General features: G+C 34.6%; 1 protein-coding gene across 9 annotated transcripts in view; it reads right to left on the reverse strand.

Moving 5' to 3' along the window:
- The window catches only part of LRBA (LPS responsive beige-like anchor protein), a 751,293-nt gene that overhangs the window by 330,236 nt on the left and 401,845 nt on the right, over positions 1-19,212 (reverse strand). For 5 of the 9 annotated variants that reach the window (XM_047416462.1, NM_001367550.1, NM_001199282.3 and 2 more), the window contains exon 38: positions 4,337-4,461. In XM_047416462.1, coding sequence (XP_047272418.1) covers positions 4,337-4,461 — 125 coding nt within the window. Of the gene's footprint in view, positions 1-2,412; positions 2,446-4,336; positions 4,462-19,212 lie in introns of all 9 variants that reach the window. The other 4 variants (NM_006726.5, XM_005263373.4, XM_011532434.3 and 1 more) reach the window with 1 other exon arrangement.

Below are 19,212 nucleotides of genomic sequence, written 5' to 3' on the forward strand. Positions count from 1 at the left end.
TTAAACTGCAATTGTTACATAAAATTGGAGAAATCTGTCAGAAATGTCATCTTTAAAAATGATTTGATTCACTGAGGCTAAGAACAATGAAAGGCCTAAGAGAGAGAGGCTGGTCCCCAAAATGTAAAATTCAAGTTCTTCAGAGCTAACTCTGGACATGAGTTGATTTATCTATCCACCACAAAACAGGTAAGTAGAATTAAAATATAAAAACAGCAAAAACACACACAACAAAAACTGTTCCACCTTTGATATAAATCCTTTTTAACATCTACTGAGCAAGTGAACTGGAATCATCAATAGTCTGTATTAAAGTAAAAGAAGTTTATACTTTAAGAATTAGCATTTTTAAAAAAGACTACTATTAGAATAACAGAGTGCCTTCAAACATACATAAAATAAAAATGGGTATCTACTTATGTGATCTGAAGCACACACCATAACAGCATTCTGAACAGGACACATAAAGAATATCTTATAATCAACTATTGTTCTAATTGATTCCCCTCTATAGTTTATGCCATGTCCATAGCATTCCAAGTCAAGAAAACTGACTCTGTAAAAATTAATGAAACTACAAAGGATAATTAGGAGAATAAGCCAGGTGCATCTCGTAATAATCATGGGCTAACCAAAATTTTAGATAGAGAACCTAGTATATGTTGATCCTAAAAAGGAAGCAACAGTATCTGGCATTATTGAAGTTATGAGACAATGGCACGATTTAAGATCTTTACATGATCTGTCATCCCTAGAAAACCAAATGAGTTACTTGTATCATTCCATATGCTTACAAGATACTTTTAAAACTATGTTAAATTCTCCTTATATATTTCTATTAGCAAGCACGTTCTCTACCAAATAAAAATGTCTTGAATTCAATAGGATTCTCTGCTAAACTGTTTTAGCACCTGAATTAAAACCAATCTTTCTACCGTTTAAAACATTTTTTACATGTCTTTAATTTAAATATAAAATTCCCGTTATATTTAATAATGAATTTTAGAGGACAGCACAGCACACTGATATGAAAATCTGGGTTTCAGTCAGTTAACCTGGGCTTTAGTCCTTTATCTACCAAAAATTATACTGGCCCTTTGTTTCCTCAGTTTCCTTATCTGTAAAGAATAAAGTTAGACTAGATGTTAGCCTTAGGTTCCTTCTACATCTAAAATGCTCTGATAGTAAGTAACAGCTAACCAGGGCTCTGGCATTAGGAAAATGTTACAAATCATTGCTACCAATTTCTAATAAATTTTAAAACTATAAAATGGAAGAAAATGCCCTCAAGAATAAAATGCCCAGCTTTGCTTGAGCTGCTAATTTCCATAAAGAATACTTAATCATAAGAGGAAGTATTAATTTTAATTTTAAAATATGACTCAGTTTCTGCAAAGTTAAAGAAATCTCCCATTACAGCATGACTTTTATAAATAACCACTTTGGAGGGTCTCTGCTTGAAAAATTACCTAAAGCTTTTTTCCCCAAGCAAGTTAATGTGAACTTGGGAAGGGCAATTAAATTGTCAGAATTAAAAAATTTGTTTTTAACTAGAAGGTAGCCAGAAGTAGAGTCATGGGGCTGGTATTGATCGCCCAAACAGAGAACATCACTCTTCAGGTATTTACTCTGCCACCTTTACACTAGAGGCTTTCCTTCAAATCAAATCAATCTATAAAAAAGATGGCTCTTACTACTAAAATACGTAACTGATCTCCAATGGCACTTCTATTTAGATGTCTTCCTTTGATAATGATAATATAGTTCATGGTGTTCTAAGATTCTGCATTTTTAAAATGTCCTATCTCCTTAGTTAAATAAATTATAAATAAAAGTGAGAAGTCATAAAAATATAAGAATGACATACTATCCTCATTAATATATATTTTAAACATTTAAATTCAACATTGAAGCACGGTATTTATCCATGTTAAAATCTGTAATTTCAACTGCTTTTTGATCACATTAACAATTTTGTTTTGCATACTTAATTCTTAATAAGTTTATTTTGATTAGCTTCTTTAATGCTCCAAAATTTTTAAACACCAAATTAAAATTGAATGTCACCATAAAATATTTAATACACCAGTAAAAAATTAAGCTCTTTGTTTACAGAATATATTAGCATAAATTTTCTAACATCGAACAATACCATAATACAATCTATGTGCTGAATTTATTCCCTTTTTATTTAAAATAAAATAAATATGAGGTAGGATTAGAATTTGTGTTTTTTTAAAAAATGTTATAGTAAATATTAAATATGATATATCTCTGAAATTGTAAGACAACTGAAGAATCTCCTACACATTTAGATTTTTAAACATATATTTCAAACGCAAGTTTTGTTTTTAACATTTTGGAGTATGACAATAATCATAAAATTACTATAAAATATTACTCAATGCTTACCTTTGCTGTTCTCTCTCAATTTAAAAATGCACACTAAAACATAGATAATTAACATTGGATTAACCTTTCAATTACTATCGAGAGTAATCAGAGTGAAATCTACTTCTATACAAGTCAAGAGTCTTAGGATGATAGTAAAAACATGTTAATAAATTCTTTTTTGTCAAACTTTAATGCAGATGCTTAGCATTAAAAAAGCTGACAAAACAATATGATTTTAAGAGCTCAACAATTAAAATTTATTCATTAAAAATCCTGTAACTCTTCAAAATGGTTAAATGTACTATTTTTGATAAGAATATTTTAATAAATTCTATATTAAATCTATACCACAAATTTTAAATTGAATTATTGATATCTAAGGATAAAAGATTAACAGCCTATCTATGTGCAATTTTAGAAAACAAATCCTCCCCTTCCAGATATAAAAGGAAAATGTTTTTACGAAAACATATTGCCATGTATAGATCTCAGAACTCACAAATTACTGTAAATGATGGTTTAGAAGACAGAAAAATAATTAAATTTCAAATTTTAAGTGGACATGGTAATACATTTTGTTAAAAATTGCAAAAAAAGTTCACCTTCTCCATGTAAGCATCATTAACCAAAACAAACCAGAAAATCCAAAAAAACACACAAAAAAAGAAAAAAAAACCCTCTGAAATCTGTTATCACCACCTAAAAACTATATGTACTCTAAAAGCAAAAGTGGCCTAATTAATTCTACATTTTATTTCTCTTTCTCCACCTCCTGTAGTTGAAGATGTAGGGCCATGAGACTATTATTGCTTTTAGATCACTTTGTTATTGACTATTCTCTGTATGATCATTTATTTTAAAGGACTGATGTAACATGTGGTGTTATATCTGATGACATATTGTGGACATTTTCTTCCAGAAATGGCTCTTTAAGGCTGAGTGCAAGAGGTTAAGCTGCCTGACTGAGGCCAAACCTAAGATTACAGATTTTTAATCTAAATTCTTAATATCCTTATTGAATATAAATTAACATTTATTTTGTATGCTACATATTTCCATTTAATCACAAGCTCCTGCATGTTAAAACAATACCCTGAAAAAGGAAAATTAAAAGTACTTCTGACTTTATTAAAAACCAATTTATATTTTATAAAGTCAGGATAATTTTAATGTGGGGAGGAGCATTTCCCCCTTAACCAATATATCTTAATTGACTTTCAAAAATCATAAAATAAGTGAAATTTTATAAAAATTTATAGTATCAAATCCAAAGGAAATTTTCAGTTTTTCCAATTTACTTATAAGACTTTTACCTAAACTGAATCATAGTCATATGCATTGTATCAAAAAAGCAAAAATGTTTTGTTAAGCTCTGATAACAAAATAATATAGAATAGGAACGTATGAAAATAATGTTTATTCTCTTTTTCCATGAGCCATCTATCATAACCATCTTCAAATCAAGGCTCAGAAAGTATCTAGGCAATTGGACATTTATTATTATCTTTCCCAGTTCATGATCTCATGCTAAAATACCAGGATTGGGCGAAAACCATGTATACACAACAGAACCTAGAAACTTATCTGGTTTGTAAATGCTGTCTTCCTGATATTCATGGATTTAAGGCATGCCTCCTGGATTCATTTACTCAAAGCTGAATGTGTCGCTTAAAAGGAGACATATTTAATCTTTGTACTCTGAAACAAAGGGTCTATGTTAAGTAAGTTTTGTATGTGTAACATAATTAATAAATATACTTGACACCATAATTTAATAGGACTCTATAGTAACTATAAAAAAATTTAACTTCTCTTTCTGGTATGAACAACCATAAAATGTGGTGTTGGACCATTTTACAGTGCCTTGTAATAATGAAGTTATGCTCTTCATTACCAAGTCCTGTACCTGCTGCTATTGGCAAGGAATGGTTTATACACTGACCATGTTCCACGGCTGTTTTTAGTGTCGCTTCAGGATGTGTCGATCCTAGAGGGTTACGCACAAATCGTCGCCGGCGCCGCAAGTCATCTTCCCAGTAGTCAAGGCGCCAGAACTCAAGAGGACGACTACAATGAAACAGAGAAGCCACATATGTTAGCAATTATCAAACAGCGTGGTAGCACTGAATTTCTGCATAAAGCTCTCCTTGTTTGCTCTGCCTTTTTTTCCCTCTCCTTCCACTTAATTCTCCCTCCATCTCACACTCCCCTTTCTGCAATCTTTAACTTAGGTATGTCCTTGAAAATAACAATATCACCTTCTAGTCTAAGGAACTCCTTTTCCTTTTCTTGGAAGGTGAAATGAGCACTAAATACATCATTTTGAAATGAATTGCTGACAGTGTGATCAGTTTCCCCACACTCTAGTGGCATGTGCTCTGATTTCAGCCTCATTTCAGCCTCAGCAGGGCACCTTTCTCTGTAGCTGCATTTATAAACCAGAATAGGGAAAAGGCTATTATAAATATGGTATAGCATTACCTATATTAATCAAAGTCCGTCCCCCTTCATTTTTCTTCCTAATTTGTGCCTTTTTGCACAAGGTCAGTAAATCATACCATGAATTCTTGGTCCAGAAAGTGTTAACTTTAATGAATATCTCAGTTACATGGTTATGTATGTGATAATAAAATATTACTCTGTTTAGATGTGCAGGAATTTAATTAAAATAATCTCTTAAAATATTCATTACATTTAGCCCCTGAGGCTTAGAACAACACAAGAAAATGCATTTCTTTTCCATTTACTGTTTTTAAATAAACCATTCCTGTAGAGTGAAATAGCAATCTATTTTCAAGCAAATCAGATTGGATTTCTGTTTTATGTACTCTGTTTTTATATTTAATTAAAAACTACATGCTATATGATGTGCAATAATTGCTATATCAAAAGCATACTTTTGGAAATGTATTTTTTAAAAAAAGGTTTGCTCATTTCAAATTCTATATTTCCCCTATTACATACACATTTTATATGGCAATATATAAATGTCAGCTTTCTCTCTTGTTAACTAATCATGATCTAGCATGCTGGAAAAATATTTTATAAGGAAAATACTAAAGTGTTTTCAGTTATAGTAAGAAAAAAGTCTCTGTAGAATACATTAATTCAATAAAGATATACAGCAGGAACACCTGTAAGTTTCAATAATGAAATTAAAAAATTATTCATAATCAAAACTTCTTCAGGAATGACTAATACAAAATACAATCTTACTTATATTTCGGGAGCTAATAAAATTGTATCTGTCAGCTTTGACAAATTAGTAGTCTTCAACAACTGACAGTCCCAAACTACCCAAGTAAAAGTTACCTTTATTTTGATGTTTTAAAGATGTTCTCTTTAAAAATTCAAAATAGGTTTATAAATAAGTACTTTTATCAATTAAAAACTATCTTGTATTAATAAAAAGCATAAACAGTACGTTATTTAAAGAAAATCTTTTTAAAACAGTAGAGACTGATCTCTGAAAATGCTGAAGGGATAAGAACATCAAATATTTCCTTGGGTGATTTTGGTCAGGAGAAGGAGATATAATGTAATCAAAATGTAATACAAAAAAAGTATAAGAATTGCAGTTCTCAAAAAGAAAAATTTAAAAAGCTATTATTATATATTTCTTCATTATTCTGTCTAAATTTGAATAAAAACATGATGATATTATTTAAAAATAAATAAATACCCACAGAATATACATACAATCAAAAGACAACAGTTGTTTTAACTCAATTAATAAAATGAAATTCTCCTTAGGTGAGAAGGAAAAAGGCAGTACACAGATGGCTGTGTGTATGGCTTTGATAGTCATGGAGCTTGGATAGGCACTTCATCATTCTGCCTACCTACATTTATCTGTTAAAATTATTATCAAATATCAGCCAGGATGCAGTCGTGAATCACAGGCTGCTCCTCGCCTTCAGGGGAATGATACAATGAGGGTCTATTCATCAGTGCGGCAATCGGCACAAGTAATTAGTTCCCTAGACTGAGATCTCCTACAAAGCCTATTTCAGTCAGCACCACAAACATATGACGATGTAAAGCTAATGAAAGCTGCTCAAATTTGTTAACCTTTTCTGCCATCTATCCTTCTAATACTCTATGCTTCAGTATTATGCAAAGGTAGTAAATTATTAATTTGTCATTCATCCATCCTTCTACATTTTGAGTCAAATTAAATGATGTCATTCTTCTTGATAACAATTAAAATTATAAGAGATGTTAAGCTGCTATGATAAAATTATGACTAAATTAGGTAACAATAGATTCTACTATAATGCACCACAGTGAAGTCAAATTCAATGGCTATTAAGCATATGCACAATAACTTTTATCACACAGCAGAAAAACCAGAGGAATTATAAAATTATTCACAAATTATCAAGTAACTCAAAGATAATATCTATAGCAAAAATAACCAAAATTAGGAGGAAATAAAACGATAATATTTATTTTTATACCTTGACACTAAAAAAAATGGTCAAAATGGTGACATTTGGCTAAAACAAAAACACCAATGCATCAGGGAACTGAGAATTTGTTCACATAATAGAAATGAAAGTTGTTTCATTTCTGCTAACTATATATATATATGCAGACATACATACTGTCTTCAAATATATTCTATCAATTTTTTTTTCTTTTTGAGTTGGAGTCTCGCTCTGTCACCCAGGCTGGAGTGCAGTGGCACTATCTCTGCTCACTGCAAGCTCCTTTTCCTGGGTTCACACCATTCTCCTGCCTCAGCCTCCCGAGTACCTGGGACTACAGGCGCCTGCCACCATGCCCGGCTAATTTTTTGTGTTTTTAGTAGAGACAGGGTTTCACCATATTAGCCAGGATGGTCTTGATCTCCTGACCTCATGATCCGCCCGCCTCGGCCTCCCAAAGTGCTGGGATTACAAGTGTGAGCCACCGCACCCGGCCTATTCTATCAATAATTTTTTTAAATACTTAAACATGGTCCAAATAGAATAAACGACCTGTAATACCACAGCATGATAATATTTACAATCTCCTGAAGCTATGTCACTTAAGGACTATTTTTCCAACACAATCCAGTTACAACACAATTAAAAACAATCTGAAGACAAAGCAAATATCACTTAGTTCAGATCACATATCTAGAAAGAATTATAAAAATCATTTCAAAAGACCAACAATTTCAATATATTTTTTGAGAGTCTCTTCATATAAAGCACTGCTCCAGGTGCTACAGTGTACAAAGTTCTCATGTAATAGACTTATAATCAAACAGTTAGCTATTAGTCTCATTTGAGAAAATAGCATTTATCACCCAATTTCAGATTGTGTAGGTAATACATGTTTTTGGAGAAAAAGCCACACACCCACTTATTTGAGATATATTTAAAGTCATTTAAATATATTTAATAACTAGCATATTTAAAGTCATTTACACAGTAACAAACCTGGGCCTAAAGTACAATGTTTTGTTTCCCTAAGTCTGCTCCCTCCAACAACACATACTCTCAGTATAACGCTCTACCACACACACACACAAAAATGAGGCCGGCTTTGTCATTTTAAAACAGTATTATAAAGGAGAATGTGTAGGTTTTGGTCTTCAACTTACTTTCTTCACTCTCATTTAAGAAATACTGTTCCCTACCCCGTCCCTTCCTCAAAAGCCTCTTCCAGGCAAAAGAGGATACAAAATTGGCAAATTTATTAATAACATAGTGATCCAACCCTCTTCCCAAAAGGTTATAAAGTAATTAAAAGATTATACATTTTTGTAGTTATCACCATGGTACGATCAGCAAAATTTAAAAGACTTCATGTGTTCAGAAACAGACTGTTGACCAAATATAAGCATGGATAAGATCAGAAATCACTTATTCTGGCACCTTATAAGTACATATCTAGATCACATTATATACCTATACCTTTATATATCTGTATCTATCCCCAAAAGTTATATTAATACTACACAACACCCTTTCACAAACTTCACTCATATCCATTTCCACTAAGATCCTCAAAATCTTCAAAGTAAAGAGGTTAGCCTAAGTTTTAGATCTGGAAATACTATTTCCTTCAGAAGACATAAGCCCTTCTCTACAAAGATGCCCTACTTAGGGCTCCTCTTAGGACACAATCTCCAGGTACTAAAGTCTTTGACTGGTGGAACATATGTCTTTAAAAAGTTATGGATGGCACTGAAGTTAAATATTATAATCTTTCTAATTATTTTTTAATTTAGTTTTTTCGTTCTTTGGTCTAACTTCAGAGTCTGAAGTTAAAATTACCATGTAAGTCTATTGGACTTTTCTACATATACGTCATCTAATTATGTTTCTACTTTTTAAAAAACTTTCACGTTATGTGTTTGTATACACACACCTTTAATACATCACTATAATCTACATAAAATAACATAAAGCAATGTCATGGCTTTTTTGTGGTTGTTGTTGTTTTTTAAGATGGTAGAGTGTCACCCAGGCTGGAATGCAGTGGCAACATGAGGGAACAGAACAAAGCTCACTGCAGCCTCTAACTTTTGGGCTCAAAAGATTCTCCTGCCTCATCCTCCCCAGTAACTGAGACATCCTCCCCAGTACAAAAATTAGTAATCTGGCTAATTTTTTTTATTTTCTTAGAGATGGGATCTTGCTACATTGCCCAGGCTGGTTTCGAACTCTTGGCCTCAAATGATCCTCCTCCTTGAGCCTCCTGAGTAGCTGGGATTACAGACACAAGCCACTGAGCTTGGCTGGCAATGCCATTTTAATACATAGAATATATGTTTTATGTTCTACAAGAACAGAATTTGATAGATTATTAAATTTTTAGAAAGAAATATAACTCAAACATCAATAGATAGGCTATTTATTCTATTTCCTAGGCCCTTTATGGTTACTGATTTGATCAGGTAGAACAAATGAATAAGAATTAAACAAATGAGAATCATTTGGAAGAGGCAGAAGTATTAAAACAAAATCAACAACTAAGGTACGATTCACATTTTTCCTCTAATAGTTAAATGATACAACTATACAAATTTGACTATTATTTTTCTCATGTTAATTGTAAGAATTTTTAGGCTGGGCACTGTGGCTAATGCCTGTAATCCTAGAACTCAGGGAGGCTAAGGAAGGAAAACTGCTTGAGGTCAGGAGTTCAAGACCAGCCTGGGCAACATAGCAAGACCCTGGTTCAAAAAAAAAAAATTAGACAGGTGAGGTGGTGCATGTCTGTAGTTCTAGCTTCTTGGGAGGCTAAGGTGGGAAGGTTTCTTGAGCCCATAAGTTGGAGGTTGCTGTGAGCTCTGATGATGGCAATGAACTCTAGCCTGGCTGACAGAGGGAGAGACTATCTCCAAAAAAAAAAAGGAATTATAAAGTTTAGATTTTTTGAAACCCAATTAGCCAGTTAACATGGTATGAATGGCCAAATATTCTAATAAAATACCAATATATTTTCTAATAACAATTATTTATTATTTACCTGAGTCAGCTGTGGCAATACAAGGATTATTACAATGTTGTCCCTGATGTCATGGAAAAGGCAGATGCAAAAACAAATAATAAGAATTCAAAAAAGTATGTGTAACAGAACAGAGCTTTACTACATGGCTATTAAGGTGCACAACTCCAGGGGGCACTTTTCACATCAAAATTTTTGTAAATAACATGCCCTGGAGTTATGCAATGCTCACTGTACATTACTATATGCCACAGCCCAAGTGCTAGGAGAATACTACCTTTACCCACACATCCCCCAGTTCCCCTGCCCCACAATTCAATGCTCAGGCTCCTTTCTTTCTCTGGAATCCAAAAGTTAAATCTAAACTTGGGAACAGGAAACAGAACAAAGCCCTTCAGACACTATCAGTGGCAGTTGCACAGTCAGTATTTCCCTGCTGTAGGAAAAAGTGGACATATTAGGAAGATGCTTGGTTGTCAAAACACAAGCAAAATTCAATAAAAAGAATGAAATAATTAAGTACATAAGAGAAATATTAACATTTATTTAACCAAAAACCATTAAGTTCGCATTGCTATATTAAAGTAGATAACTTTCTGGATATTGCTGTATTAAAGCAGAGTAGTTTCCAGAACAATGTTAATTACTGAAATCAGTGGTAGCTATGTAAGTATCCCAGTTATTCTACAACCTAGATGAATTGGCACCTATTATCAAATGAGTCAAATGTATTCATGTCTATCATCTCACTGGTTTTAGTGTCATTTTAATGTAACTTAAATATGTCAATAAAAGTATATGAGTTTTAAAAAGAAAACCTGTCAAAACACAATCATATTAGAAAATTTTCCCATTTTCCATCTCGCCCACTTTGCTTTGGCAATACCTGATAAATCTTGATAACCTTAACAGAAGTCAGTAAGAAATTCTCCTAGCTAAAGTTCCAAATCCTAGAACATTTTAGCACTTCATATTTTGTTCTTAAATTTTCACATTGCCTGTTTTTTAAACTCCTATATCTGACTAGCTTCTATTTCCATATTTTTAGATTAAAAATTCATAGTAGACATTAGTTACAACTGAAATAAATGGTAACCCCTAAAAAGCAGTAAACATTTTCAGAGCACTGTCAGCTTGAAGATAAAAAGCACTTAAGTTCTAGAAAGGTTTCACATTCTGTATAAATCTTGGTGAAATAATGTTCAGGTACTATAGGTATCATACAATATAAGAGAATGCTTTACCTCACAAACTGAAATCTATGGTGCCTTCATGCAAATAAAAAGAAAATTAACTAAAACCTCTGTTTACCAAGTACCAACTATAAATCAAGGGCAGCTGATCTATGCATTATGCTGTCTTAATGAAAAGGACAAACAAAAACAAAAACAAACCCTTCAATTGTGTGGATTCCAGCAGAGAAGACACATACTAAAGCAGAATTCTTTCTTTATTGAGGCCTGACATTGAGACACTGGAGTATCATATATTTTATTTAATTATGTAAAATCAAATTTTATGTAATTAGGAATTTCTGCATGTCACTATTCAATGTATGTCTGTATTTGTTTTTTAAAGCCATCTAGATATCCATCTTCAATTAATTATTAGTTTGGACATTTGGCAACCAAGTTAATTATTCAAGAAATGATCCCAAGCTTTTCCTGTCTGTTGTTAGCCAGTTGACCATTTCTTTCTTCACTTAGAATTTTTACCAGGGATTGAGTAAAGTTATGAGACTATCAAAATCTGGTGTTATACTACCAGTTAAAGCTCTAACAAAAGACATCTAGGAAAAAAAACCATTAAAATGATGTTATTAAGAACCAGAAGCCTTAAAGCTCACCTCAGCCTCACTATTTAGACAAATCTATTATACTGTCCCCAAATATCTAATTTAAAAAAATTCACCAAACACTTGTTGAGTGCCAACTATGTACCAGATTGTGGTACATACAAATGAATGATGCTGGGCTCAACCTACACAGGACAATGGGGACAAGGAAATTATTAAATATAAAAAAAATAAGTTAAAATAGACTATATTACTTTAGGCTACTCTGTGCTACACACTGTTCTCTGTTATATACAGTACCGCCAAGCCTCAACAACCCTGCCATGATTAAATACTGCTATTCTCATTTTAAAGGTGACGAAAGTAAGTTTTACCCATTGGTAGTAAATAATAAGTCTGATGACGTCTAAGCCAATGAGCTTTTCACTACATAGCATTTCCTCTTGAACATCTTATTCGTTACTATTATAGCTATGATCAAAGTACTAATTAACCCTGCCTGGGAGGACTCAGGATTTCATTAAGATTTCAATGAGGATCTATTTTGTAAGTTACATGAAGAGAAGGGTTTATGCGTAATTCACTGACCAAGCACAGTAACTGTTACAAAACTGCCACTTAATAAATAATTGATCAAAGAGTAAACCGATGACTTTTAAACAGAAACTTAAATGATAAACAGGAGTCTGCTGAACAAAATGGAAAAGGCACTATAAGCCAAGAAATAGCATGGATAAAGGCATGGAAATGTAAAAGGGCTCTGTAATTTAAGGAAGTTTTGGTAAGAAATCACAGCTAGACAGCCTTAGGATGGGAAAAGCTAAGGTAAAAAACATAGGTTTAGAACCAGATTTCAAAAGACCTTGTAGAGTTAACTAAAGTAACTACCTGTACATCCTAGAGTCTACAGAGACAGCATCAGGCTTTCACAAGAGGTTTAATATGATCAGGCTTGTATGCTACACGGCAGCAACATACAGAATGTCTGGATTAAGGCAGTGAGGATGGAGCCTAGAAGTGAAGGGTTTAAAGACATATCTGAGGTAGAATAGATAAGACTTCACATGATATTCAAATATGGGAGGTGAGGAAAAAGATAATGAGAATAAAATCAAGGGCTGTAACAAGAGGGAAGTTAGAAGATAAAGATGCTATTTAATTAAAATAAATACAGGTTAAACAGGCCTGACTGGGAAAAATAATCGCATCCTAGATGCCTAATAACATCCAGGCAGGTATTTCTAATAGGTAAGTAATATAACACTGGAATTGAAAGAGAAGAGGCCTGTGCTAGAGATTTAAAATAGGGAGATTGACCAGGCATGGTGGTTCAGGCCTGTAATCCTAGCACTTTGGGAGGCTGAGACAGGTGGATCACTTGAGCCGTGGAGTTCAAGACCAGCCTGGCCAACATGGCGAAACCCTCTCTCTACAAAAGATACAAAAATTAGGCAGACACGGTGGCTCACACCTGTAATCCCAGCACTTTGGGAGGCTGAGGCGGGCGGATCACGAGGTCAGGAGTTTGAGACCAGCCTGGCCAACGTGGTGAAACCCCGTCTCTACTAAAAATACAAAAATTATCCAGGCATGGTGGCATGTGCCTGTAATCTCAGCTACTTGGGAGGCTGAGGCAGGAGAATTGCTTGAACCTGGGAGGCAGAAGTTGCAGTGAGCCAAGATCGCGCCACTGCACTCCAGCCTGGGTGACAGAGAAAGACTCCGTCTCAGGAAGAAAAAAGAAAAGATACAAAAATTAGCCAGGTGTGGTGGTGCACGCCTGTAGTCCCAGCTACTTGGGAAGCAGAGGTGGGAGCGTCACCTGAGCCCAAGAGGTTGAGGTTGCAGTGAGCTGAAATTGTGCCACTGCACTCCAGCCCAGGTAACAGAGTGAGATCCTGTCTCAAAAAATATATAAGAAAATAGGGAGACTGGTTAGTCTTGGGAGTCAGTAGATTTAGCATTCATTTAACAAAAATGTACTGAGTGTTTATTGTAAGCCTGGGTATTTTGCTAGACCCAGAGAAGAGTCTATTGAAAGGGCAGGAGAAAGATGGGGATGAATATTGCAGAACAGAAAAGGATCAGTAAAAGAAACAGGGAAGTAACAGTGCCTTACAGTCAATAAGATAATGGGAGAACCAAAATAGAACGGTGCCAAAAAAGACAAATGAGCAAAAATGTTTCAAAGCAGTCAGCGGGCACCATTATTTAATTCTGCTTAAACATGCTCAAAAGGATGAAAAATGAAGAGAAGTCTTTGTTCATGTTTTGTGTTTTTAACAGCTTTATGATATATAATGTATACACCATAATGCTCACCCGTTTAAAATGTACAATTCAACGTTTTTTAGTATATTTACAGAGTTGTACAATCATCACCATGATCTAATTTAAAAACATTTTTATCACCCCAAAATGAAACTCCATACCCATTACCCGTCATTCCACATCTTCCCTTCCTCCCAGCCCCTGGCAATGATGAGCCTACCTTCTTTCTCAACATATTTACCTATTCTGGACATTTTATATAAATGGAATCCATACAATATGTAGAATTGTGTGACTGGCTTCTTTCACTCAGCATAATGTTTTTGAGGTTCATCTATGTTGTAGCACATATTGGTAGCTCATTCTTTTTATTACTGAATGATATTTCATTGTGTAGATACGCTGCATTTTGATTATCCATTCATGTACTGATGAACACTTGAGTTGTTTCCATTTTGTGGGGATCTTTGGGTTTTACGATGAGAAAACTGAAGTACTTGGTTAGCTATCTAGCATTCACTTCTCTCCTCTTTCCTAATAACTGAATTACAATTTTGTTCAGATATCTATCACTTTTTAAATGTTTCTCTGACTCATGGAAAGCTGACCAAATTATGATAAATCCGGTCATTCTCAGCAGCGATTGGTTCAGGAATCCAGCTTTAAGAGGATCACTGCATAAATTCTGCCTAGCAACCACTTTTCACCAATATGAAATGGAAACCTTCTATTCAGTGGTTGAGACAAGAGTTCTTTCTTTTTCCTGATGGTCTGACACAATGAAACATGTAGATCCAGTTGCTGGCAGTCATAAGGCATCCATGAGAGAAGCCAGATTGGAAATAGTTTATACATCCGGGGACAGAGAACTGAAAGAGTTACAGGAAAATGGAGCCAGAAGCCTGCCCCAAAGCCTATACATATCTGTACTTCTTATAAGAGATATTATACTTCTTCATAATCTAGTGAAGTCAGGAAGTTCACTTGGTGCAAGATTTCTTATTACTTGCCTTTGAAACCACCTAACAGATACATGGATTACTGGTGATGCTGTGAGCAATTTGATTACAGTGGCTGGAAGGAAAAGTAGAGAGTAAAACACTTATGCTTTGGTGGCAATGGTTAATATTGATCTCCTCTTCAAAAATTTTGACGATGAAAGGAATTAGAGAGCTAGGATGGCGGTTTAAAGAAGGTAAAGAACAGACTTAAGCATGTTTGCAGAAGGAAAAGACAAAGTCCAAAGAATTCAAAGAAGCTGAAGATGGCATTGGGGGTAGGAGGTGGGTAGCAGGAGCAGGGTTTGATAAAGACAGAAGAGGTATGATCCCATAAAAAGATAACATGATGAACTTGGAAGTAACTAAGGTCATCTCTTTCTTTGTGGCAAAATCCAAGGATGTAAGACTCTGTACTTTAATAAATTCAGGGCTGAAGAGAAGAAAAACTAAAGACCAGATTTTCACCTGATTGTTTGTTTTTTTTCTATTACGTAGCATATTTTTGACTAAAGAAAAGAATAGAGGAGGTAAAATTAGAAGAGGTGCCTTGGGGAATACAGAAGAAAGCTGACAAAGGAAAAGTTTAAGGATGATTAAATAGCTTATGAAGGTCCAGCTGAGTTTGGAAACCATTGAGGTAGCATCGATCTGCAGAACTGTGTGATTTTTCCTATACCCTGACCCTGACCATACATAGTAACCTGGGAGAAAGAGTAAAAAGAGCAGCTGAGGCCAGGTGTGGTGGCTCACGCCTATAATCCCAGCACTTTGGGAGGCCGAGGTGGGTGAATCACGAGGTCAGGAGTTCGAGACCATCCTGGCCAACATGGCGAAAACTCGTCTCTACTAAAGACATAAAAAATTATCTGGGCGTGGTGGTGTGTGCCTGTAATCCCAGCTACACGGGAGACTGAGGCAGGAGAATCGCTTGAACCTGGGAGGCAGAGGTTGCAGTGAGCTGAGATTACACCACTGCACTCCAGCCTGGGCGACAGGGTGAGACTCCCATCACAAAAAAACAAACAAACAAACAAACAAACAAAAAACAAAGCAGTTGACCAGACTCATTCAAGATTTAGGACTGATTTGGTTGGCAGACCAAAATAAGGAAGGTTAAGGAAAATGAGTAGGCTAGTAAGAACGCCTGGGATGACTATGGGTGATAAATCCATGATCTTTCTGGACTTTAATAAAATAAATAACATAGGCTTTATAGACATTGACTCATTGGGAAATCAAATTTATCCTGCATCCCAAGCTACTTATATTGATGATAATTAATCAATATAACTGGCTTATGATGCAGTATAAATTTGATTTTCCAATGAAACAATCAGTAATTCTATTTAATCAATATATCCAGTCCCCTTATTTACTGCTGCTATGTTTTCAACTTGTACTAAAACACATATAGAATAAAAGAATGGAAGATTATACTGTACTTGAAGACTTTCTTCAGTCTTCAAAATGATAGGATCACTAGCCAGGAGATGAGGATAGGGAGGAGAAGGTTGTTGTAAATAATCATGGGACTGAACAATCTATACGCAGAGACCATCTGAAGGCTTAGGGAGGCAGGACCTCACTCTTTTAAGAAGTATATTACATTATGCTCCTGGAAAGAGGATGGGAACTAAAATTTACTGACTGCCAATAATGTATTAGGCATGCTAGTACGTATTTTACATGTGATCTCATTTAATTCTCAAAACAACCATATAAATTAGAGATATAACACCTATTTAACAGTTGAAGAATTGAGGCCCAGAAGGTGAGTGATTCAGTTACTAAGAAATAGCGCTAGACCCTCCCAACTAGAACTACCCATTACCAAAAATTTTCCAGGCTACTTTGGCTAAGACATTCATATGAGGTTCATTAATATACTTCTTATGACAGTTCATTATATTGGTATGAGTTTAAATATCTCTTTCATAAAGTGACAGATATAACTATAAACAAAAAATTTTATAAATTATATGAAAACCTATCAACACACATTTCAATAAAGAATAACTAGAAAATTCATAATTTTTCCAGCATTAGCATCACTCAAAATTCAAATAGCAAGGCTATTAGACTAAGGGTAAGGAGTTACAAGGCTCTATCGCTTTTCAATGTATAAGTATAACTAAGTACTGTGTAGTGCAGGGTCAGTATTTGTAAGTAAGTAGCCTGAAAGCTATTAATATTCAGAAATATGTTTAGTAACCACATCACTTGCCCCAAATTTGGAAGAACTACATAAGCATCTACATGAAGCAATCTCATATCCAAGAACCACTGCTTTGGCATACAGAACCTTTATTTCTACGCGCTCTCTCTCTCTCTTTCTCTCTCTCTAAGACAAGGCCTCACTCTGTTGCTCAGGCTGGAGTGCAGTGGCACAATCACGGTTCACTGCAACTTCAACATCGCAGGCTCAGGTGATCCTCCCACCTCAGCCTCCTGAGTAGCTGGGACTACAGGCACAAGCCACCATGCCAGGGGAATTTTTGCATTTTTTGTAGAGATGGGGTTTCGCCCCTTTGCCCAGGCTGTATTTCTCTCAAAGTCAAGTCCTATACCACATTTGTTGCTGTTCTTCTTAAGATACTTTGTAAGTAACAGGAAGACAAGAAAAGAACAAAAAAAAAGTCACCCTCCATAGCATAACATTTTTATCTTTAAATAATTTTTTAAAGTTTACATGAAGAAAAACCCTGCATAATCCATCACTTCCTCTTTTTAAACCAAAACTCTCAGGAAAATACTGAGAGTAAATAACTGATTTTAACTAACATAAAAGAAAAATATATATACTGTACTTTGCAACCTGGATAAATTAAAGCGTTAGCAAAAGGTATGTGCTTTTTATCCACTGGGGAAAACAAGGCTTATTATGTTACACTTCCAGGTTTTTAAGACAGTTGGAAGCCGGTTCTCTGAATAGTTGCTGTCATCTCCTAGATACTTTCTAGTACTTTCAATTTTGAAGCAATTATTTACATTCTAAAGTGATTTATTTTCCTCTCTTTCTTTGCTACATTTCATTTCTTCTGGTTCTCAATGACCATCTCTACTTTGGCTTAATTATATTCATTTACAAATATTTTCTGAGTACCTGCTACCGTGTGGAAAGAACTGGTTGAGGTGCCTTAAGAAATACTCATATGAAGAAAACACAAGTCTCTAATCTCAAGGCACTTAAAATCTAATAAATGGGATAAAATAAGCAAACAAAAAATTATATGACATAAAATCCACACCATAAGAAAAGTAAAAACCCAGAGTGATAGAAAGGCAAAGAGTAATCACATTTGTTTTAAAGGGACCAAGAAGCTTTAAAGAGCAAGAGATTTTTGAGAAATACCCTTAAGAAGAGGCCAATTTTCAATTGATACACAAAGAAGACGATGACATTTTAGGCTTTTAGGAGATCTTAAGTAAAAGTATAGAGGTCTGAAAATTGGAAGCAGTCTCATTTAGCCGGTCCAATAGAAAATGAGATATGAAAGATAAGTTAGAGCCATAACATAAAAAATCAGGAATGAAAAACTAATAAGCTTATATTTCACTCATTTACTCACTTGTTCATTTAATCAAAAACACATACTGAATACCAACAATGAGTAAAGACAGGAGATTCGGTCATTTGGTGATAGAAAGTCATTATTCTCAAGGTCCTCAAAATCCAATAAGAGAAACAGATATATGAAGAGATAATTACAATATATGCAAAAGGTACCTTAGGGACACAGTTGAAGGGCATTATCCAAAGTAATAGAAGCCTTCTTAGAAGTGAGTAATCCACAAATTGAGTCAAAGAGTTAACAGATGTTAACCAGAATAAGAAAAGGAAAATCATTCTTTCTGAGGGAACAGCATTAGCAAAGCCAAACAAGTAAGAAACAATTGGGTATAAGCTAAAGTTAAATGTTTCCAGAATTTTTGGAGCGGCATAAAGCAAGAAGTGCCCAAACAAGAGGCTATAGAGGGCAGGGGCCAGATCATGAAGAATCATTTTAGGAGTCTGGCTCCTGGTTTAAAACCTATGTGTGATTTTTTTCAGGCCTTACCATGGGTAGTTACAAAACCTTTACCTGGCAGGCCTCACAGAGAAAAGCTGTACTCCCCACATCAGACTTGATGTACAGCGAATGCTTTGCATCTCTGGCGGGAGTTGCAGCTAAGGTCTTAGGCCTCTCTGGCCAGTTATGCTCTTTGCACATTTACATTCCTAGCCCTGATGAATTGATTCTTGGGTCTGTATCTGAAACCTTGGCCTAAGATCCTCTCCAGGCATCTCTTCCTAGAACTCCTTAC

The sequence above is a fragment of the Homo sapiens genome, chromosome 4 (genome assembly GCF_000001405.40).
Source record: "Homo sapiens chromosome 4, GRCh38.p14 Primary Assembly".
NCBI lineage: Eukaryota > Metazoa > Chordata > Mammalia > Primates > Hominidae > Homo > Homo sapiens.